General features: G+C 40.7%; 1 protein-coding gene across 11 annotated transcripts in view, besides 4 other annotated features; it reads left to right on the plus strand.

Moving 5' to 3' along the window:
- Window positions 14626-15126: an enhancer, noted in NCBI's record as "H3K27ac hESC enhancer chr4:166128334-166128834 (GRCh37/hg19 assembly coordinates)". NCBI's record gives its function as "activates a minimal SCP1, AML or CMV promoter by ChIP-STARR-seq in primed H9 embryonic stem cells {active_cell/tissue: H9 hESC(primed)}" and the evidence as "EXISTENCE:reporter gene assay evidence [ECO:0000049][PMID:30033119]".
- Window positions 14626-15306: a biological region, named in NCBI's record as "H3K27ac hESC enhancer GRCh37_chr4:166128334-166128834".
- Window positions 14657-15306: a silencer, noted in NCBI's record as "silent region_15783". NCBI's record gives its function as "represses an Ori minimal core promoter by ATAC-STARR-seq in GM12878 lymphoblastoid cells {active_cell/tissue: GM12878}" and the evidence as "EXISTENCE:reporter gene assay evidence [ECO:0000049][PMID:35858748]".
- The window catches only part of KLHL2 (kelch like family member 2), a 115596-nt gene continuing 107756 nt past the window's right edge, over window positions 15005-22844 (plus strand). For 9 of the 11 annotated variants that reach the window (XM_047449560.1, XM_017007674.2, XM_011531572.3 and 6 more), the window contains exon 1: window positions 15005-15346. In XM_047449560.1, coding sequence (XP_047305516.1) covers window positions 15266-15346 — 81 coding nt within the window. In that variant the 5' untranslated portion in view covers window positions 15005-15265. Of the gene's footprint in view, window positions 15347-17462; window positions 17625-22844 lie in introns of those variants that run through there. The other 2 variants (NM_001161521.1, NM_001161522.1) reach the window with 1 other exon arrangement.
- Window positions 21707-22251: an enhancer, noted in NCBI's record as "NANOG hESC enhancer chr4:166135415-166135959 (GRCh37/hg19 assembly coordinates)". NCBI's record gives its function as "activates a minimal SCP1, AML or CMV promoter by ChIP-STARR-seq in naive and primed H9 embryonic stem cells {active_cell/tissue: H9 hESC(naive and primed)}" and the evidence as "EXISTENCE:reporter gene assay evidence [ECO:0000049][PMID:30033119]".

Consider the following 22844-nt stretch of genomic DNA (forward strand, 5'->3'; position numbering starts at 1 on the left):
TTTCTACTCATTTTCTTGACCTCCTTCAGGGCTGACTTGAGATGCTGACTTCTATTTATGCCTCCACCTGCCTTCTGCAGTTTGACTCAGGGATCATCTTCTTTTAGCTCATGACTCTGACTCCATTTTTCCGCTAAAGCTTTTCCTTTTTCTTTCTCCAGGAATCCCAGCCCACAAGTCTTCCACCCACTGCTGCCTGTACCCTGCCCTTGCAGTCTGCACTTATCTGGAGTATGGGACCTTGAGAGTGTTCAGGGCCCATCATGATCAGCCCCTATTCACCCAGCCAGTCTCACCTCCCATGGCTCTTTCTCATATGTAACATTGTGGTTAGGAGCATAGATTCAGGAGTCAGTGTCTGGGTCCAAATCTTGGCTTTGTTTCTTATAAGTTATGGGTTACTTAACACCATATGGACTTCATTTTCCTCATCTGGAAAATGGGGATCTTAGTCCAGTTACCTACATCACAGGGTTTTTATAAAGACGGTGGGTGGACTGTTGCAGTAATCGCAAACCCAGCAAATCATGCCTGAAACCATGCTCTTGCGAAGTCCCCTTTGACATTGATTTTGGGTTTGGCCATGTGGCCTGCTTTGGCTGATGGCACAAGCAGATATTTGATATGTGCTTGCACGTTGAGTTTTGTACTCATTTGCTTGCTGGTTTTTGGAACTCAACCACCACCTGAAAAAGCCTAGGGTAGCCTGCTGGATTCTGAGAGATGCTTGTCTCAATAGACTCCATCCCCCAAGTCAACTGAGACATGTGGGTGGGGGGACATCTGGGACTAGCCAGCCCCAGCTAACTTGCCAAGTGACTACAAATACATGAGTAATTCCAGCTATTATATGGAGCAAAAAGATGGACTGTGCTAGCCCAAATTGCCAACTCACAGAATCTTAACCTAATAAATGGTGAAGGAGTCACTAAATTTTGGGGTGATTTGTTATGTAGCCATAGTTAACTGATAGAAAGACAAGTGAGTTTTTACTTGGTACATGCAAAGTATTTAGAAAAGTGTCCGACATTTGGCATGTCAGTAGTTGTTTATTATTATTTATCATTAGCTTGAGTCGTAGGGGTCACCCTGGAAACTCCTGAATAGGCTGAGCCTTCTTATGCTTCCATGCCTCTGCATATGATTACAGTTTTCAAAAATGCATTCACTGACTGCCTACCTCCTATGTGTCCCTCAAGAAGGGGGATATTTAAAATATTTGACAATTAGTATGGTATGGGCACCATTAATCAGAATCAGGTGTGTACCACCTAAATAAATATCAGGTCTGCCTTCAAGACTGATGAAGCATCACCATCATCAGTCACCTGAGTTATTGTAATACCTCATCAGATTTCTCTGCTTCTTTTCTTACATCTCTCCATCCTCACCCCATAGTTTGCTCTAAACATGGTTGTCATTTTTCAATGGAAATGATCCTTTAAAAATATAAGTCAGATCATATCACCACGCAGAGAATCAAAGCTGCAATGGTTCTTCGGTTCACTCAGAGTAAGATCTAAGATCCTTGCAATGGTTCACAAGTCCTGCAAGTTCTGAGTCTTCCACTCCTGCTCCTTACCTCTCTGATTTTTCTCTCCTTCCTTCACTGTGCTCCAGCCACATTGGTCTTCTTGTTCTTTCCCAAAAATCCTACCTTAGAGATTTTGTTCTAGCTGTTATTTCTGCTCGAAATGCTTGTCCTGAAAGAACAGACTTGCCTAACTACTTCACCTTTTCTAAGTCTTGCTCAAATACTTCTCAATGAAACCTAAACTGAGTATTAATCTGCAATCTGCTCCCTAATGTTACCCTACACTCTCACTCTCCCTTTTACTCTATCACCTTCTATAATAGTCAGGAATCCCCCAGAGAAGCAAAACCAGAAGGATATATATATATATATGAATATATATACACAGAAGGATGTGTGTGTGTGTGTGTGTGTGTGTGTGTGTGTGTATATATATATCCTTGCAAGGAACTGGCTTATGCAACTGTGGGGGCTGGCTAGGCAAACCAAGATCTGTAGGGCAGGCTGTCAGAAAAAACAGATTGAATTCCCAAGCACAAGCTAAGGCTTCAGTCCATAGGCAGAATTATTTGTTTTTTAGGGAAACTGCAGTTCTATTTGTAAGGTCTTTCACCTCACTGAATCAGGCCCATCCGGATTTCTAGGATGATGGTCACAGCAACACCTACACTGGTGTTTGACTGAATAACTAAGGACTATAGCCTGGCCAACTGGCACATAAAATTGGCCATCACATCTTCTAATATATTATATAATTTTCTAATTTCTTATGTCTATCATCTGTCTCCTTCACTAAAATAAAGTTTCCATGACCATTGGGGATGTTTTTGTTTGCTGATACATTTCATAGTAAATATTCAATAGATGTTTGTTGAATTAAATAGAAACATCACATCCCCAGGAAGTCTTTTGACTACCTGCTATCCCCAAAACAGACACCTACCTACCCTAAGTTAGGTGCCAATCCTCTTCTTTCTACCTCCTAGTTAGCTAAATCCATCCACTTTAATTAGACTGATTTAACTTCATTCCAAGAGATTAAGTAAAGCACCAGGAATAACTAAGCATCTTATGGTTTCATTTATTTAACTTATTTATCTCTTTGCTCCCATTAGCCTCCTATTTTGCATCTATTCCTTTATCTTTCTTCTGCTTCTTTCTTCTACTTCGAATCATTAGGAAAAATAAAAAGGAGGATGCATTATGATGAAATTTATAAAAAGAAGCCTTACACTAAAGGCAGTGTTGACTTGTGTGATATCTCCACCTATAGAAATAGTCTTTCAATTTAGCAACATGCCTCCATTTATTTTACCAGCATTTATTAAGCACTAAATATGTCAGACATTGTATAAAGTACTGAGACCACAGAAATAAAAATCAATGTCACTGCCTTCAAATTGCTTATAATCTTTAGTAATTGTTAATTATCATATATTATCAATCATTACAATTATTAATGATTCCTATCAATTATTTATTGTTTATTACTCATTACTTAAGCCTTTATTAATTATTAGTTAATTATTGGTATACACAGTGTTTGATATTTAAATCAGCTGTCGACATTGAAAAATTAGGCCGGGTGAGGTGGCTCATGCCTATAATCCCAGCACTTTGGGAGGCGAAGGCAGGTGGATCACCTAAGCTCAGGAGTTCGAGACAAGCCTGGCCAACATGGTGAAACCCCGTCTCTACTAAAAATACAAAAATTAGCCGGGCATGGTTGTGGATGCCTGTAATCCCAGCTACTTGGGAGGCTGAGGCAGGAGAATCGCTTGAACCTGGGAGACAGAGGTTGCACTGAGCTGAAATTGTACCATTGCAATCCAGCCTGGGTGACAAGAGGGAAACTTCATGTAAAAAAAAATGGAAATATTAGAATATTTTACATAGAAATCAGAATTTCTAGCTTCCCTTGAAATATCAAAAGAGGTAACAAAATGGCCTGCATTTTTACACAGCATAAGCAGCTCAGATTTGAGGCATGAGCTCTCCATTTCTAATTCACCATATTCACTACTTCTCTGTATTGCTTCTCAACATTAAGGTCAGATATCAGTTGCTATTTATCACCTTACACCTAGCCTGATTAGTTATTTAGCTACCTTCCTGGCCTCCTGCATGGATTTGGTTTGTGGATCTCTAGTCTAGTTCGTTGTATTTGATAATGTACTACTAAAACAATTTTTAACTCTGCAAAATAATTCTGCTTCTATGATATAATTTGATGTTCACAATAAATCTAAGATGTAGGTAGGCCAAGTATTATTGGCTCCGTTTTTTACACAACATAATGAAAAATTGAGGTGGTTAATTTACAGATTTGGAGTGTAGTGGTGGTTCTAGAATTTACATGTCCTCCTTAGCTACCTTAAGTCTAAAGAGTATTGCAGAGGGATTTCACCCCCTTCCTCACTTTCCTCAGTACAAGATTTTAGACTGAAGTAGGTCAATGATTGGGAGGGGCAGAAAAATGAACACAAAGTTACATTTGGAATTTTAACTATTACTTAAGGCTGAGTTGTGGCATTTTAGCACTAAGTGGCTGGGGGACTTTTTATTATCTGAGAGTCATGGGCCTGTTCAATGTTTCATCTTAGGATAGAAAAAGATCACACCAATGAATACATGTGTAAAGGGACAATGGAAGCAAATATTGAATTTTTCTATGCAATCAAAATGTGTCACATTTATTCAGCTTACCAGTTACAGAGATGCACACACACCACACACACACAGACACTTTTTTTCTTTTACATAAATAGGCTCATACTGTATACAGTATCTTTTACTGTTGTCGTTGTTGAGACAGGGTCTCACTCTGCCATCCAGGCTGGAGTGCAGTGGTGTGATCATGGCTCATTGTAGCCTGGATCTCCTTGGACTCAGGTGATCCTCCCGCACCAGCCTCCTGAGTAGCTGGGACTACAGGTGCATGCTACTATGCCTGGCTAATATTTGTATTTTTTTTTTTTTATAGATACAGGGTTTCATCATGTTGCCCAGGCAGGTAGTATTTTCTAACTTACTTTTTCCTTTCAACAGTATGTCATCTTTTTATGACATTAAGTTTTCTTATACTGTGTCAATTTTAATGGTCCCATAGTAGTCTACTATATGGTGGTTTTATAATAATATTTATCCAGTAACCTGTGGGCCAATTTGGTTTTCCAGTGTATTATTATATAAATAAGTTGCACTAAATATTCTTGTAGCTGACTCAGTGCATGTATGAATATTTCTTTTCTTTTTTTTTGAAACTGAGTCTCTCTCTGTTGCCCAGGTTAGCATTCAGTGGGGCCATCTCAGCTCACTGCAACCTCTGCCTCCCAGTTTAAAGTGATTCTACTGCCTCTGCCTCCCAAGCAGCTGGGATTACAGGTGTGTGCCACCATGCTTGGCTGATTTTTGTATTTTTAGTAGAGACTGGGTTTCACCATGTTGGCCAGCTGGTCTTGAACTCCCGGCCTCAAGTGATCTGCCTGCCTCGGCCTCCCAAAGTGCTGGGATTACAGGCTTCAGCCACCACACCTGGCCATATGATTATGTCTTTAGGATAAATTCCTAGAAGTGGAATTGCTATATCACAGGATACATCTATTTTTAAAATTTTGATGCACATGTAATGACTCCTTAATCAATATCCTTCCTTCCAAAATCTCCCAACTCCTAATTAGGTCTAACTACTTCAGCCAGATAAATCTCACTAAATATCATACTTGAATATTGTACTCCCTTGTTAAAAAGTCTCAGTGGTTTCTAGCTTATTAGATAAATTTAAAAGCTTTGGGGGTGTGGGGGGAGGCCCAGGGAAAATATCTCATCTTAACTTCTTTAATCTCACTTACCGCTCTTCAATTCCAGTTAGGGCTGACCTATAATTTCTGCCAGGTCCAACATTTCTATTTTTTTTTTCCCCTACATGAGGAAGCTGCTCCCTTTTCTTCTCTGCTAATCTAAATCCTATATGTCCCCTGAAGTCCAGATCAAATTATACCTCTTCCAGAAAGTGTTACTGGAATAATCCCACCCCCAAATTATCATTGCACCCATAAATCATATTCCTCTATAATTTTAGTATGTATATCCTAAAATTTCCTCGGGGTGGGCAAGCTGTTTCTGGGCAGGTTATATTTTGAATCTGCCTCCACAGCAAACACAGTGCTAAGTTCTGAATCTTGAAAAGGACTGTAAAATTGTACAATGAGTTACTGGAGAAAGTTCTTGAATATTCCCTGAATGCCTTTAAAATCGGTTATACTCCCATTTGAAATTAGGTAAATGGACTAACTGAGTTTTCAAAGAGGCTTCAGCCATATTTTTCTAAGAGTATAACTATAATTAGTTGTTGGTGAAGTATGAATCATTTTCAGCTGGCCCTGTGAAAGATACCTCCACTTACTCATAAAAATTATTTGGTGTGGAATAAGGTATGAGAGAAAAATCTCTCAAAGATGATTTAATCACCACAATTACCAAAGTAGTTGGTGGTGGTCACATGATGGATTTTGAAAACCACATAAGTGAGGTTCCATTGTATAAAGATATTTTTATTCATAGCTTATGATACAAAACTGAACCAATGAATTTTCAAATTATCCTAGATACTGAACATTAAGAAAAACTTTGATTCATTTAAAAATACATAAATTATTTTCATTTCACCCCCCAAAGTATGGTGCTTCACTGTTCCAAAAATACTACACATTCAAATAAACTGTAATTATGAACACATACAGCTTCCCACAGTTAGAACTTTAAAGATGAATTGTGTTAAATAAAATGCATGTTGCTGCAATATTTAAATATGCTTTAAAGTAAATCATTATTATAAGTAGGTATGTAATTACTATGGCTTTAGGAAGGTTTAACTGGGAACTAAAATACAAAAGAATAAAATTTCTGCAGCTTTTGACCAAAATACAATGAATAGATATCCACCATAAATCTGCTCTCTAATCCCTCATTCCAGGTCTTCCTAGATGAGGTAACTGGAATGAAAAATCATAGAGAGAAAAAGTAAAATTTGGAACAAAAGATATGAAAAATAGAAATAGAGAATCTAGAAATATTAAGAACTTCAGGCAATGTAAAATCCAATTTTTAAAAAAACGAATCTTTACTGGAGGAGTAGTGGCTTTGAATCTATCTCCCTAAGGATTAGAGCAAAAATAAGATTTCCAAAAGAGTGGGTATGTTTTGGTCAGAATGGAGGAGGAAGTTGTCTGTGGTACTAAGATGCAATGTAGTACCCACCTGGCACTAGGTACTCTTTAACCTAATGCATTAGTCAACCTTCTAGTATTCAAGTTTTTCCCTGAAATTTGCATCATTTTAACTTGTACATGTACTGGCAACTGGCAGCTGAGCTCTCCCTGCCTGGGTCTCCCACAGTTACAGCAAATTGGCAGTAAGCCTTCCTTAGCAGCTGCTAATGGGCTGAAGGTACCTACAGCATGATTCCACTTACATGAAACAAATACAAACCCACCTATTTCCATGTGTACCACATATGTATGCAACTACACAGAAAAATGTTTGAAAAGATACACTTAAAACTGTTAACATGTGCTACTTCTGGTGAGGAGATTAAGGGAAAGGTCAATGAGAACTTTCATTTTATGGTTTGAATTTCTACTATAAGAATGTAATCATTTTCTTTCCAGTAAAGCCTTGTGAAAAAAAAAAGGATGTAATCCTGTATTATTTGCTTTGAATTATTTTAAAAATTAGCAACCAAGAAAGCAGCCCTGGGACGCCAGCCAATGCCCAGAGCAATGTGAAGAACAATGTAGTTGACCACAGAAAGCTGCATTACCAGTTTCTTCAGGGGCCAATAACTTTATGAGAGTGAATCTATCTTTGTACCAGGTGTCCTTGATCTGGCTAATCTACAACTTTCCGCTGGACATTTCACTGGGATATCTTGAGGTTCCTGCAAACTCTGTAGGCCTAAAACCACACACCATCATCTATCCCATGTGACTTTCTTATTTTTACCAACTCTATCATCATATTTTCAGGCTACTTCATCTTCCTTGCCCCCCATATCCAATTAGTCACTGAGTCATGTTTATCCCACCATTGCCATTTGGCTGCTTCTTTTCATTTGTGCCACACTACACTACTTCATGCTTTTATCATGGATAAACTTTTTTTTTTTTTTTTTTTAGATGGAGTCTCATTCTGTTGCTCAGGCTGGAGTGCAGTGGCACCATATCAGCTCACTGCAACCTCTGCCTTCCAGGCTCAAGTGATTCTCATGCTTCAGCCTCCTGAGTAGCTGGGATTATAGGTGTGTGCCACCACACCAGGCTAATTTTTGTATTTTTTAGTAGATACAGGGTTTTGCCATGTTGGCCAGGCTGGTTTTGAACTCCTGGCCTTAAGTGATCCACCCACCTCAGCCTCCCAAAGTGCTGGGATTACAGGTGTGAGCCACCGCGCCCGGCCACTTTTCTCTTTCTTAAGTGCTCAAGTCAGAGTTTATCTTACTTGTGAAGACTCTGTTGTCTGGTATTTTTGTTTAATTAGTTTTATTTATTTAAAAAAAAAATTTTTTTTTTTGAGATACAGTCTTACTCTGTCGCCCAGGCTAGAGTGCAGTGGTACCATCTTGGCTCACTACAACCTCCAATTCCCAGATTCAAGTGATTCTTCTGCCTCAGCCTCCCAAGTAGCTGGGATTACAGGAGCCTACCACTATGCCTGGCTAAGTTTTTTGTATTTTTAGTAGATACGGAGTTTCACCATGTTGGCCAGGCTAGTCTTGAACTCCTGACTTCAGGTGATCCATCTGCCTCAGCTTCCCAAAGTGCTGGAATTACAGGTGTGAGCCACTGTGCCTGGCCTAGCTTTATTTTTTAGAGACAGGGTCTGGCTCTGTCACCCAGGCTAGAGTGCAGTGGCACAATCATAGCTCACAACAGTTTTGAACTCCTGGACTCAAGCAATCCTCCCACCTCAGCCTCCCAAAGTGCTGAGATAATTAGTTTTATTTAAAATTTGGATTTATTTTTATGACTGAAGTTGATTACAGTTATCTTAAGGGGAGAATCCTTGTCCTAAGTTTCATATTACTCCTAACTGCTCCCCCAGACGGACTCACCTATCACAGTGTAATCATCAAAGAAGGCATTCAATAAATTTGTTGGCTGATTGACTCACTGAAATCAAAGAAAATTTCTCTGTACCTTCTTTATTTCTGGGTATCATTGTTTATATGCTTCCAAAAGTAAAAAAGAATAAATTTGATACATTGATGTAGCCATATATCTATTAAAATGCACATTGCTTGAATTTTGAGTTGGAATATATGTTCCTGGAGGTAAACATTTTGGTTGGTGCCAGTTCATTCATTCAACAGTATTTCTTGAATGTATAATATGTGTTAGGTATTTTGCTAGGCCCTGGGACTGAACAGACTAAAATTCATGCCTTCATAGAGCTTACATTCCAAAGAAGAGAACAGAAAATACGTGAAATAAATAAGACACAGAGTTGGTCAAATTGTGATAAGTGCTTGGGGAAAAAACAAATCCGAAAATAAGTTTAGGGAGTGTTGAGGGTGCAGGGGGAGTGCCAGTTGCAATTTAAAATAGGGTGGTCAGTATTTTCCGTATGTGACATAGAAAAAAAGTTGATACGTATATCTAAATATAATACAATCAAGATCAGCTTGAATCAGTTTGCCTCAGAAAATATGACTTTGAATATTTTTCTCATGATTTAATTTTAGTTGGCTTTTAACAAAGACTTCAAAATGGCAGCTCAGGTTCATTTTTAGTTCAATGAAGAATAGTTCTCATACATATGCAGCCTGGATTTAATTCTATTTCTTGGGTTGGATTATTACCAAGATCTTAACAAGGAAAATGAAGAAATATGGATGCCTCAGGAATTGACTAACCACTTATATCCTGCATTAAACATGCTTCTCTGCATCCAGAAGCTGACTAGTACCAGATTAAGAACTAGAAAGGATTTCTTGGCAAAGGACTCTTTCTTGCAAAAATAATTCCAAGACTTGGGCCGAGCTCAAATTTTAGGATTTATGTGGAAATTCAAGACTTATCTTTTTGTATTAGCATGTGAACAATTTGAACAAGTAATACAAACTCCCTGAGGTATGGTCTCAAAAGGTCTAGAGTTTAAGAAGAATACTTTTTATCTCCTATACTCTGCATTGTCCCTTATCAAAGTAAAGCATTCATTTCACAGTGTTATTCAGTAATACCTATATTAATGAAAGACACATTTAAACATCACAACTTGTAAATAATTTTGTAATTAAAATAATATAGATGACATGGGAATGCATTCTAGGAAAGACAATAGGGGTAGGGTATAAAGATATTATTCAGCTCAAATGATACTAGTATGAGGTTACCCCATGTCTAAAAGCCATTTGTTTTAAAGTGTAGTTCACTAATCATTCTGTTGGCTGATGTCTGATCATTTCTAAGTTTTGATTAGGGATGGAGAGAGGACACTGGAGACCTGTAGATGGTGTCAAAGGTGAGAGATGTATTGACACATGAAAAAAGAGAAGAAAATGGGAAAAATGAGAATGCCAAGGCAAACTTATTTCACAATTTTGCTTAGGGCCTGTGCTATTAACAGTCAGCTGTAATGGACAGGCAGAAGCTGTGGGGAGAAGTTTTTGTGTATGTGTGGATGCATAATTTCAGATGAATGACAACAACCTAATAATGCTTCGCATAATTTATCAAGAAATTTTACTTGCTTTTTCTTCCCCCCAGCACTGCTGACTGTGTAGAAAGATGTTCAGTCCTAGATAATTCTATGAGGGATTACATCACCAGACTACATAAATAGATACCATAAAGCTATATATAAGTAAAAATAGATTAAGTAAATTTCCTTTTCTTAAAACACAGAGAAATTGCTTACCTGATATACATTAGTGTGAAACCTATTTTTGGATACTTCCTGTACCAATTCCAACAGATTTTCAATTAAATTTTGCAGCAAACAATTTGCATTCATTTCTCCAGGAAGCTCAGATACGGGGTAATGGGGAGGTATGCTGTGTCGGAAGTAAAGTTGCTATCTTACAGACTACAAAAACAAGGAGGCAAGCATTTGAAGAGTAAATTGGATTCATGGAAACAATGGACTCCATCACTTAAGGATTGTCTATTGATCTGGAGCACAAGACGCACGTCACCCCATTTGACACCATAAAGCTTGTAATACATATCTTAATGTATTGACAAATCCATTTGCTAAACCGCAAAGTATCAAAAGAACATTTTGAAATGCTTCTTAATATATTATGCTGCTAAGTTTCTCCTAAGTCAAAATATTAAAAGCAAAATCCCTAATTTAAAATTAGTAAAGCAACTTAAACTAAGTCTTTAGGATAGAAAATGCGACTTTTTAGAAGGCCTTTATCTTCTTTAGTACCTAATTTTGAATGAGTGAATCTTTTCATACTTGCCATCTTTGCACTGGAAGGAATTACAAATATAGCATCTAATGGTTTTGTATTCTTCAGCGAAGTTAAGTCTTTTCTTTATAGGAGCAATTCTTAGCTCCCGGATACTTGCCATGAGATGTGTTTGTGCCTGCCATGTCATGTCATTAGTTCTATTGCAACATCTGATTTCAGCTCAATCTAAGGGATTTTTGCCACTAGCCACTGTCACGGACTTGTTCATCTGAGTGGTTCCATTTTCTTTACAAGTGATACATTCCATTTACTTACATTAGCTTTAGATTATGGTTACTAACATGCTTAAGGAATTGTTCTATCTTAACAGCATAGGAGGCAGATGGACTTTTGTAAGATCTCATTCCTCTGCCAAGGGTGTGAAGGGCTCAGCTAAAGAATGATGAAAACGTGGGTGGAGGTAATAACCTACGCAAGGGGAGGTCAACACCGTTGCATGTTCAGTCAGACCTTATGTCAAGGGAAATGAAAAAGAGAAGAGCTTGGTGGTCTTAGGTAGCCGCTCCTAATCCTTAGTGTCCTTCACTTGAGAAGATAGTGAAACTGAGAGTCAAAGGAAGAAGTGTTAAAAAGTTTCTTCCCCACTGTAATGTTGGATTTGGGCTCAGCCTGTCAAGCATTTTTGTTTACTTTCTCTTGTGAGCAGAGAGACAGGTTAAGGGTGGAGGCTGTATCTGGCTGAGGACCAGTTTTGGTGTGACATTTAACTCCAAGTAAGGCTGAATTGTATGTGGGTAATGTACTCTTTCCCAGTATACTTGTGAAGCCTACAAATGGGGGTGGTTGTGAAAAAAGAAAGGTTTGGGTTGACATTTAGCATGCTAGATGAGTCGAACCCCTTAAGCAAAGAATTATGATAGACAAAACTAACCCAGAGGAGGATGTGAGAGGGGCTATGGTTTGAAGTTATGTGCCTAGCTGTCAGACGGACACATCGTAATTTTTTAGTATTTATTTGTACACATAACACTATTTTGGGTGGGAAGATACAAAAGCAATAGAAAAAGTCCACCTCCCACCCCCCGCCTCAAAAGAGTTCCTGAAATGGCTGATGAGTCAGCCCTACTCACTGAGTTTGCATGCAGAAGGAAGTCAGGCCAAAGGTTTGGTAAAACCTAAGTCAGTATCTCCTGGCTCTAGGACTTAACCCAGTTCCTAGCAGAGTAAGGTATAACTGATGGCCACAGAAGTGTACAGAAATAATAGCAGCAACTAACATTTATTAAGTGCTTCCATTATACATTTATGTGCTATATACTTTACATCAATTATTTCACTTAATTCTTAAAACAACCTTGTAAAGTAGGAAGTTTTATTATGGCTCTGAACAGAACCATCATACAGAGAAGTTAGCTCATGCTGAAGTGTACTAAGGGTTTTTTGTTTGTTTGTTTGTTTGTTTTCTGGAACCCTTCACTAGGCTGCCAAGACACCTGCCTTGGATCTCCTTCTACTTCCCTGGTTGTTCCTTTACCATCGCCTTTGCTGAGTCCTCCTCCTCTTCTTTTTTAATGTTGGAGTGCCCCAGGGCTTACTTCTTGGTCTACTTCTTTTCTCTAGCTACATAATCTAGTTGATCTCAATACCCATCTGTATACTAACAACTTCCAAATTTATATCTACCCCAGATACATATATCTAATTGTCTACACCTATCTTCACATGGATGTTTAACAGACATCTCAAACTTACCATATCTAAATCAGAGTTTACAAATACAATCTCCACCCCGCCCTCCAATATTTGTTCTTTCTCAATATCCCCAATCCCAGTAAAGGGCAACTCAATTCTCCCCAGAGATCAGAACAAAACCCTTAGGATCATCTTTCTTTTATATGCTAATCTGTCAGCAGTTCCTGAGTACTTTACCTTCTAAACAGATTCAGAACCTGTTCACTTTTCTCAGTCACTCGGACTCTAATCCAAGCCATCCTTACCTTTCATCCCAGCTAGGCTAATCTCTTTGCTTGCTCTCTTGCCTCGCTATGCATGTTGCCCATACAGCAATCAGTCATCTTTTTTTTTAAAAAAAACTTTGTATTATGAACTTTTATTTATTTATGAATTTTGAGACGGAGTCTCGCTCTGTTGCCTGGGCTGGAGTGCAGTGGCCCGATCTCGGCTCACTGCAACCTCCGCCTCCTGGGTTCGAGTGATTCTCCTGCCTCAGCCTCCTCAGTAGCTGGGATTACAGGCACCCACCACCACACCCGGCTATTTTTAGAAGAGACGGGATTTCGCCATGTTGGACAGGCTGGTCTTGAACTCCTGACCTCAGATGATCCGCCCGCCTCGGCCTCCCAAAAAGTGCTGGGATTACAGGCGTGAGCCACCGCGCCCGGCCCATTATTATCTTTTAAAACATACACATAAACACACATAAATGATGACCACCCCTATGCACCCAACACTTAGCCTCAAAAATTAACATTTTGCAAATATTCATCTATTCACTTCTCTGTCCTTTTTTTTTTTTTTTTTGAGACGGAGTTTGTTTCGCTCTTGTTGACCGGGCTGGAGTGCAATGGCACGATCTCGGCTCATCGCAACCTCTGCCTCCCTAGTTCAAGCGATTCTCCTGCCTCAGCCTCCCGAGTAGCTGGAATTACAGGCATGCACCACCATGCCCGGCTAATTTTTTGTATTTTTAGTAGAGACGGGGTTTCTCCATGTTGGTCAGGCGGATCTCGAACTCCCGACCTCAGGTGATCGGCCCGCCTCGGCCTCCCAAAGTGCTGGGATTACAGGCGTGAGCCACGGCGCCCGACCTCTGTCCTTCTTTTTGTGGGATATTTTCAAACAAATCCCAGAAAAGTCATCCTTTTAATGATCAGATCAAGCTACTCACCACTTTCTAATTGCTTCTAATCTCAGTAAAAGCCAAGTCCTTTATCACGGCCTGCAAGGCCTGGGTGATCTGTGATTACTCCTCGCCACACCCATTCCTGCCGCCGTCCTCCTGACCTCACTCTGCTTCATTAGAGGGTCTCCCACCCTCGCGGCCCCAGCAAGCATCATCTGGAAAGCTTGTTAAAGCACACGCTGCTGGGCCCCACCCCCAGAGTTTCTGGTTCAGTAGGGCTAAAGTGGGACTGGAAAATTCGCATCTCTAACAAGTTCGCAGGTGCTACTGCTTCCAGCGGGCATACTTGGAGAACCACCAGCTGCACTGTTCTCCTTCCCGTTCCTCAACAAGGCAGGCAGGATCTTGCTTAGCAGTCTCCACGCTGCTCTTCCCTCTGCCCTAGGCATTCTTTGCATTACTCAAAGCCCCTGTTATTCCATCTCTTTAACTCATGCCTTTTGAGAGGCCTTCTCTGACCACTCTTTCTAAAATCTCTTTCCCTCTCCTCATCCTCATTTATGTTTCTTCATGGTAAGCATCACTTACTGTTTCCGTCACCCCGTCTAGATGGACAGCTCCACAAGCAGAAAGACTTGGTTTTGCTGTCACAGCCGCAGCACTAAAACCTTGCTTAGCAGGTGCTCACTTCACTTGTCCAAGGAATGGCTAGCATACTGAGGAGGGAGAGCCTGCTTCCTGCCTGGGACACTGGACAGGCAAATCACTTCTTCTTGCCTCAGTGCCACCCTTTGTAAGGACACTGGTTGGTTATGCCTACCCTTCCCATCTCCCTGGGTACAGGCACAAATGAAAAGAATAACGTGTACACGCCCGCGAAGCAGAGCAGCAAGTGGATACCGAGCATTATTACGCCGTGCGTTCGGCCGCCCTTTTTCTGCACGGAGAACCCCCTCCGCTCCCATTTTCCAGCGCCCCCGTCCCGGCGATCCAGAGACCCGCTGTGGGCGGCCGCCGCCCGCGTCCCGGCCTGCGGGCCAGCGTCTGGGCACGCCCGCCCCGCACCCGGCTGGCGCCCGCCCGCCCGCCTCCAGAAGCAGAAGCGGCAGCGGCAGCGGCAGCAGCAGCAGCAGGAGGAAGGGGAGGCGCCGAGGGAGGGGTACTCGGCCGCCGCGGGAGGCCGCATCGCAGTCCCGTCACAGCGTCGGCGCCGGCCGGGGCCGAACCCGGAAGTGGCCGAGCCCGCGCGCCCGCCGGTCCCGTCGCCGCCGCCCCGCACTCGGGCGAGCGCGGGAGCCGCGCAGTAGACGGAGCGCGCCCGGCCGAGCGGGCCATGGCCGCGGGGGCCGCCGCCGCAGGTGGTGGCGCGCGGTGAGGAGAGCGCGGCGCCCCCTCCGGGGCGGATGGAACGCGGCTCGGCGGGCGGGCAGTGCCGGCGTCCGCGGCTGGAATGGTGCTGGCTGTGTTGGTCGGTGCCTGCGTTCTGAAGCCCGAGAGGAGCCACAATGGAGACGCCGCCGCTGCCTCCCGCGTGAGTGAGCGGGCGGGCGGGCTGCGCCGCTGCGGATAAGCGCGCCGCTGCGGCGCGTGTCGCCGGCCGCGGGCGCAGCTCTGGGGACAGCCGCCGGGGCCGGCGGGAGGTGGGAGATGCGGGGCGTGACGAGGCGCTGTGCCCGCAGTCCTGAGCGGACGCGGACGGAAACTCAGCCTGGCCAGGCGGTGACTTAAAACGCTGCCCAGGATTTCTGGGGAAGGGTCTTCCCCATCTCGGGCGGATAGAAGATTCGGGGTGGGGCTGTGCATGGGTGACCCTGCAGGTCCTGTGTGTACCTCCCTGAAATGCATGGGCACCTGGTGCCGAGTTTGCCTACCCCTTTATAAGAGATCAGGCTAGGATGCACTGAGTCCGTTGAAAAAAGGAAACTGGAAAGTACCAGTCACCCGCTGTCTAAATGAATTGATCTTAGGTTGCTTGATTCCCCGAATTTCTAACAAAATTAATATCTGAGGAGCTTTTGCATCACTCTAAATGAGCGGCGGCCGTTCAGGGCATGTGACCTCTTTTACCTGGCACTGCAGAACGTTTTATCCAGAAATCAGCATCTTCTGTTTCGTTCGTACCTCGGGCAAATTAGTAGCGTATCGACCTGCCAGGCACAGGTGTCTTTTTTCTTTGGTACCCAAGTACATTCAAGATCACTGGCAACAGAATTACTTTCTAGAAATAATAGCTGAAACATTATGTAGAAGACATTATTGCATTATTCAGAACAAGGGTTTTTTTTTTAAATTTTAGTTTTTAGTTTTAAAAACATCTTGGTAAAAGTGAACTGTAAATACCCAGGAGTTTCGAAAATTTCAATTTTGGTTCCCTCTTCTCTTAGGAAGGAACAAGAGTCCTTTGAATCTGACTTTTCAAATCGCAGACAAACCTCATCCTGAAGAATGGTTTACCTTTTCATGAGAGCTTATTCATGGAGGCTTGTCGTTCTCCGGTCAAATTTGGCAAGCTTCACTCCATGCCGATTGTACCGCACCAGTCTCTTGTGGTTATTTGGCAGAATTCCAGCCAAAATAAGGATACTTGGCTTGGGTTGAATAATTTTTTGATGTTCAGCCCTTTTAGGAGAGCTAATGGGATTCTGGAACGACAGTTTCTAAAAGTGCGTTTCAGAATTTTTAGCTTGAGTGGAACAGGTCGTGGAAATCTAGGGGGTAGATAAGACTCTTGAATTGGCCTTCCTGGGCTGACAGAAGCAGGGGCTTAGTCACCTCTCGATAGCTGTGGCTTTGAGGGCTCTGAGATTTGGTCATGTTCTTCAGCAGGCTGGAGGAAGGCACCTGAACCCCTAGGAAATATGATGGTGGATGGTTCACATCAGCAGCATGAGCACACGGGGGTCTGCCCAGGCTCAGAAGCACTTAAAGCAGGATATGCTAGCTGTATTTAGCCAACATATGGTATATAATATGTAACATGTAGGTATGCTATCTGTAGTAAACCTGCCTTCTACATAAGTTCCTGCAGTTCGTTTTTACTTTTGGAACAGAGGGAGCTAAAGGAAAGAACAAGGGAATACTTAGAATGCAGGTGAAAAGAAGGGTGTGGGAAAGCAGCCTCTGGAGGGAGGGAGGGAATAGAGACACAGATGATTTAAATTGAAATAATAAAAAATAGAATTGATGTATGCATTGAAACATTGATAAACTGACTCTAGGGTAGATCAGCTAATCATAATTTTGATGACCAGCGCCATTTTTGGCATTGAGATTCCATCAATAGTGCTGGAACAATGAGAGGCTGAGATATAATGGAAAACTTGGAATGCCAGCATGGATGAAAGAATTGTTAAAACTCCTTTCAATCAGGGGTGGCTAAAGTTGGTGAGACTTTTTCATTGTTTCTGTCTATTTAATTATAAATACAAGTAGGTTTTTATTTTCATTTGGTTCTGTCCAGGATTAAACCTAATTCAAGAACTCGTTATGGTGTTATTTGCCATTCTGTGGATCAGAAATAGTTTTTTTCCTTGCCACCCCTTGGCCTGTTTGCCTCCACTCCCATTAACATCCCTCCACCATGGATCCCGTGTGCCGGATTTGAGACTTGCAGGCAGTGTCTTTAGGAAGGAACTTTACCGGGCCTCACTGCCAGAGCTGGGCTAGAACAGAGGCCAGTGGAAACTATTAGGAAGACTCAGCTTTTCATGAAGTTAGATTTTTAGCCTGAGCTTTAAGTCAAAGAAAGATGACCTGGACTTAAAGTGCCTTATGGTATGGTTGGAAGCACGGCCCCAGATTCTCTTTGTGTAAGTGTCTGTTTATTAATTCATTCAATGTGCAAATATTTGAATGCCTGTCTCTGCCTGGCACTGTGCGTGGTGCTTTTGCTTGTGTTCTCTTTTAACATCCAAATTTACATTGTTCTCAGATCCCACCTTGTTCTCCACTGGCCTGTTGGCACATTGTCTTGGAGGGAGGTCAGGCATCTGTACCCACCATTCCTGGTTCCTTCAGGATGGACTCCTTGAAATTAGCTTTTGATCTTTTGTGCTTTTTCTATTCCTTGCCTCCAACTTTCATCCTTTTTAATTCTCATATAATTAAAAATTGTCGTTGGACTATATATTTGTGCTTATTGTTTTTTGCATACTTGAGTATATGTGGCATTTAGATTCTGTTGCATTCTGGGTCTGGGTGATATTGAGACTGTGTTACATTTGCTTCTGATCAAACCTGAAAGATGTGTAACTAAAAGATGTAGCTTAGTAAAGGAATTTCAGGTAGTAAATTGAGAGATGTAGTTTAGATGTAGATTAGTAAAGGAATTTCAGATGGTAAACTGAGATGTGCAAAAGGAAATGTAAATTGACCAGCCCTGACCTCAGGAATGTATTTTACAGTCTGGCTTTTATAGTTATTTGTATAAAGGATTTTCATAATAAGTTGAAGGAAGACTGTGAGGTATAGGCCTGAGTGCATCCCTCTGATCTTCTCTTACTGATCAGTCTTCTTGGCACTTGTTTTTTTACTGGCTCCATTTTCACAAGTCGGCTTACTCTCTGTAAGCCTTGATTTTTTTGCTTTTCCTTCACAAAACTAAGCAAACATCCCTCAGATAGAACCATATCTTTTTTCAGTTGATGGTTCCACATTACTAGAGACTTGTCGTCAGAGGTGGTCATGCATAGGCAGAAAAACAACTTGTTGACCATGTTCTAAGGCATTTAGGCAGCAGAAAATTGGTTGGATTAGAGCAGAGGTTCTCACATTTTTGAATTTAACTGACCTGTAAAATTAAAAAAAGAAAAAAACAATTGAAGTCTAACAATTGCTAAGTTTTTTGTTTTGCTAAGTAAAAGAATTATTTATGAAACAACAATGATCAACTATCACCATCTTTTTATGAAAGAAAAAAACATTTTAGTATCCTTCCTCAAATATAAGGAAGAATATAATCTGACTAAAGGATTGTCTTTAAATTTAAAAAACTTAGCCTTATGAAAACTTATTACATTGTCCTCATTTTGACATAGATCAGTAAAAAGTTCACTGAAGCCTGACATTTGCAGTCCGCTGGACCGGATGACCTTTAATGTTCTTTCTAAGATTCAATTGCTGTGAATTTGGAACCTTGCTACAGGATACCCAGTATTCATTTGTTTGTCTGTTATAGTGCATTGGAGTGTATTCTTATTTTTGTTTAACTAAATGTACATTGGGCATCTCTCATATCACAGGTGAATCTCCCCAGTGATAGACAAAGACATTTAAAATATTTAGGAGTAATAATGGCCCACAAACAAGGTAATGGTGAAAGAAGACATGTGGATCAATGTGTGTTGAAGGAAGTGTTACATATAGAGACAACTTTGAGGTGCATTTGGGAACTTGAGAAGTGAATTCTGGAAATAGGTAGCATTTATGTAGTAGTTTAAAAAATTTCTGATGCTGGGAAATCACTCCACCTACTCCCTGCAAAATGCCCCAAACCTTTTGTTTCTGATGTACATGGTAGGCATGCAGTAACTATTAGTAAATGTGCTTTTCTGAAGGTGACTGTAAGTTTACTCATCTATGGCTGTTACGGATTTACACTAGTAGTGCTTATGAAGACCACTGAACTTCTTTCTTAAGATCAGGCAGGTTTTTTCAAGGTGATCCAGAGAAGGAAATTCACTTTATGTTGCATTTCTGTAGTGTTCTACCAAATCCAAATGCATTTACTCTTTATGATGAGGTAGTTTGAGTTTTTAATTTATATTTATTGAGTGCCTACTATGGCCAGATTTTGGGGATATCTCAGAAAACAAAGTTCCTTTTCCTATGATTGAAACTAATAGCAAACAAATATGTAATATTGTTAGTAGTATTACAGTAAACAAAAATGAAGCAGGATAAAAGGGTAGAGAATAATAAGAATAATAGTTCAGATAGGGTCAGGGTGTCTTTGACGAGGTGATATTTTAGCACAATCCAGAGGGGGAATAGCATTCCAGGGAGAGAGAATAGCAAGCACAAAGGCATTCTTGAATTCTTCCCCTGATGAGATAATTGCTGCAGTGAGTGGGTCCGTAACTTTTTGTGTGTTACGCACTGTACTTTCTTACATTTCAGACTATTGGCATTTGCTAAAATATTCCTTTGACCAGTTCCATTCTCTGATTTTACCTTGAAAAACAAGCCCCTGCTTTTTATGATAGCTCTTTTTCTTGTTTTCCTACTCTGGTTTTTAGGTTGCTAAATGTGATTTGCATACTTTATCACTTAATCTCACTTAGTCTTGTCAACAACCTTATAGTGGTAGGTGTCTTATTTATCAGATGAAGAAGTAGAGTTTAAGTTACTCTCTCAAGCTTATCAAGTATTAGAAAAAGTGGGATTCTAATCTCTCTGTTGTATCACTTTTTTCTGTCTTGCATGACTTCTCTTCTATCACTGCTTGTGGGCAGTATTTCCTCACGGAAGTAGGCCTTGGCCAGTTCTTTTCAATCACCTGTTAATCATTGAGCTCTAGCTCCATCTATATCTTAAGTCGGGGCTCTAGGTCTGTGCTTTGGTGTGGAATTTTGAACTTCTCACATCTCTACTCTTAGCTCATGCCTCTAAACCCAATATATCCAAAACTGATGTTTGTTCACAAACTGACTTCATTTTATAACATTTCCACTTATTCAATGGGATAACCATTCTTCTGGTCCCTGATAACCAAAGCATTGGAATAGTCTTTGATTTCTCTCTCTTTCTTCATCCTCCACATCTTATCAGTCCCCAGGAACTGTGGTCTTGGTTTCAAGTGTCCATTCTGGTTGCTACTATTCTGATGAATGGATTTCATCACTTGATACCTGAACTTTTTCACTGGTCTTCTATTGAGCTCTGTGTATTCTCTCCTCATCCTTCAGTCCCCACACTGTTTTAACCCTCCAACATCTTAGAGTCATGTGAAGTGACTTATCAAAACCAGAGACTCAGGCAGTCACAGCCTTTCATCATTTTATCTTATCCTATATATCCAAGATCATCATGTGCTTTTAAAACTCTCCCTTGTCCACAAGCCAGGATTCTCCAGCCTTTTCCTATGCTTCTCTTCTTCTCTCCCCTGTTACAACAACTTGAAGTTCCTCCAAGGCCCCATTGGAGCCCCATCTCCTTCACCAAGTCTTTCCTCTTTACTCCAACTCATTCCAGCTCATCGTTGCATTCCTATGGTGTTTGTCACTGCACCTATGTACTGACTTGTGCCATTCCTTAGTGGTTTCCCATGTACCTTCCTGTTTAGATGGTAAATGGAGGAAGATCTCAATTCAGCCTTCCTAATGTTTCTTACCCTTCTTAGTACATGGCATGCAGTGGGCATCTAGGCAGCACTTAAATACTTAATTTATTGGCTTTGGTCATTTTGAATATTGCTATTAACTTTGAATTGAATGTTGCAATTAAAAATGAAGGCCAATAAGATCCATAAAAATATATCTGCATATTCAGTTTAGATCCTGAATTCAACAATTTTCTTCTAAACTTTGTTTACATTCATATAGTGCCTAGTGCCTATACAGCTCCCTGAGATAGGTAGGTGAGATATTACTATCTTTGACTTTCATATTACATTTCACATCAGACATATTTGTGAAATAAATTTTATAAGTAGTCTGAAGCCCAGAGAGGCTAAGTGACTAATCCAGGGTCTCTTGGTTAGTATTTGGCATAGACAGAACTACAATTTTGGGCTTCTTTCTGATTCTGGTTCTCATCTAGTACCTTTTCATTTCAGTGCTGGAAAATGTATCCCAGTCAACTGAATTGCGGAGTCGTATTGCCGCCCCCTTACCAACGAAGTGATGGCAATAGTAGGAAGAGGGGCAAAGGAAAAGTCAGAAATATAAGTGATAAAATAAATGGAAATGTTTGAAATGGATCATCAACCTCCTTTTCCCTATTTTAGCACCTCACAAATATCCCACTCTGACAATGCTTTGTTAGTTATTTATAAAATATTCCTTAGGAGATTGATCTTGCATAAGACATGCTTTTACCGTGGTCCTTTTCCTGGTAATAGTCACTGTCAGGGACAAAAAGTGCCTGATTGTGTTCTGTTTGTCATGTAGGTGGGAGGGAAAGAGGGAGAGAAAGCTGAGTTGAACTGAAGCAGAGCTTTTTACAGCTCCATTGTTCTACTATCAGAGAGCAATTATACTCCAACTTCCATCCACCTCAGACATCCCAACCTCCTCCTCCTGCCAATGCTTCCCCACACACTTAACATACAGCCGCACAACTGAGTTCTCCAGAGAGAATAGGGTGCTCTTTAATACCTCCCTCTGCCCTTCAGTGAGTTCAGGGCTCTGCTTTTTAACTGCTAATATATTTTAGTAAAGTTTGGCAATTCAAGCTTTTCTAGATGTTTCCTTTTCAGCTCTGGAAAATTGGAAAAATAATTTTTAACTATATATGTTTAAAATATTCAATGGCATTATGATATTGTCTGAAAGGCATTCTGTGACTTGATGCAAGATCAGAAGTTTTTTTTTTTTCTTGGAGAAGTAAGTAATACAAAGAAAAAAGAGATAGAAGTTTTTATCTCACAAGATACCTCATATTCAGTTCTACATACTGAAGACCTAATCCAAGTTCTTACATGTCTATAGGGCAAATGTTAACATTTTTAAAAAGCTCTATTTATTTGGTAATATGAACATATGTTTGTAGATTAGTCTACTGTTTCCATACCTAATAAAAGTTTAAATTCCAGACATGTGAAGAAAATTTGCAGTGTGTCTCTTTGCCTTAGCTAACTGCAAAAATTGAAATCACAACCCTACCATAGACCCAAACGTGTTTCCAACTGAGAAAGTCTTCTACCTTCACAGCCTCTAAGTAATATAGTGGTTATTTGTTTGAAGGATGTGAGAGTATTTTGTTGAGAAACTGTAGAATGACATAACAAATTTTAGTTAAAATGTTAGTTATGGTTGACTCTGTACTTCTGATATCCTGGATTTGTTTATGAGAGCAATGCTAGTAAGATG

The sequence above is a fragment of the Homo sapiens genome, chromosome 4 (genome assembly GCF_000001405.40).
Source record: "Homo sapiens chromosome 4, GRCh38.p14 Primary Assembly".
In the NCBI taxonomy this organism is placed as follows: Eukaryota; Metazoa; Chordata; class Mammalia; order Primates; family Hominidae; genus Homo; species Homo sapiens.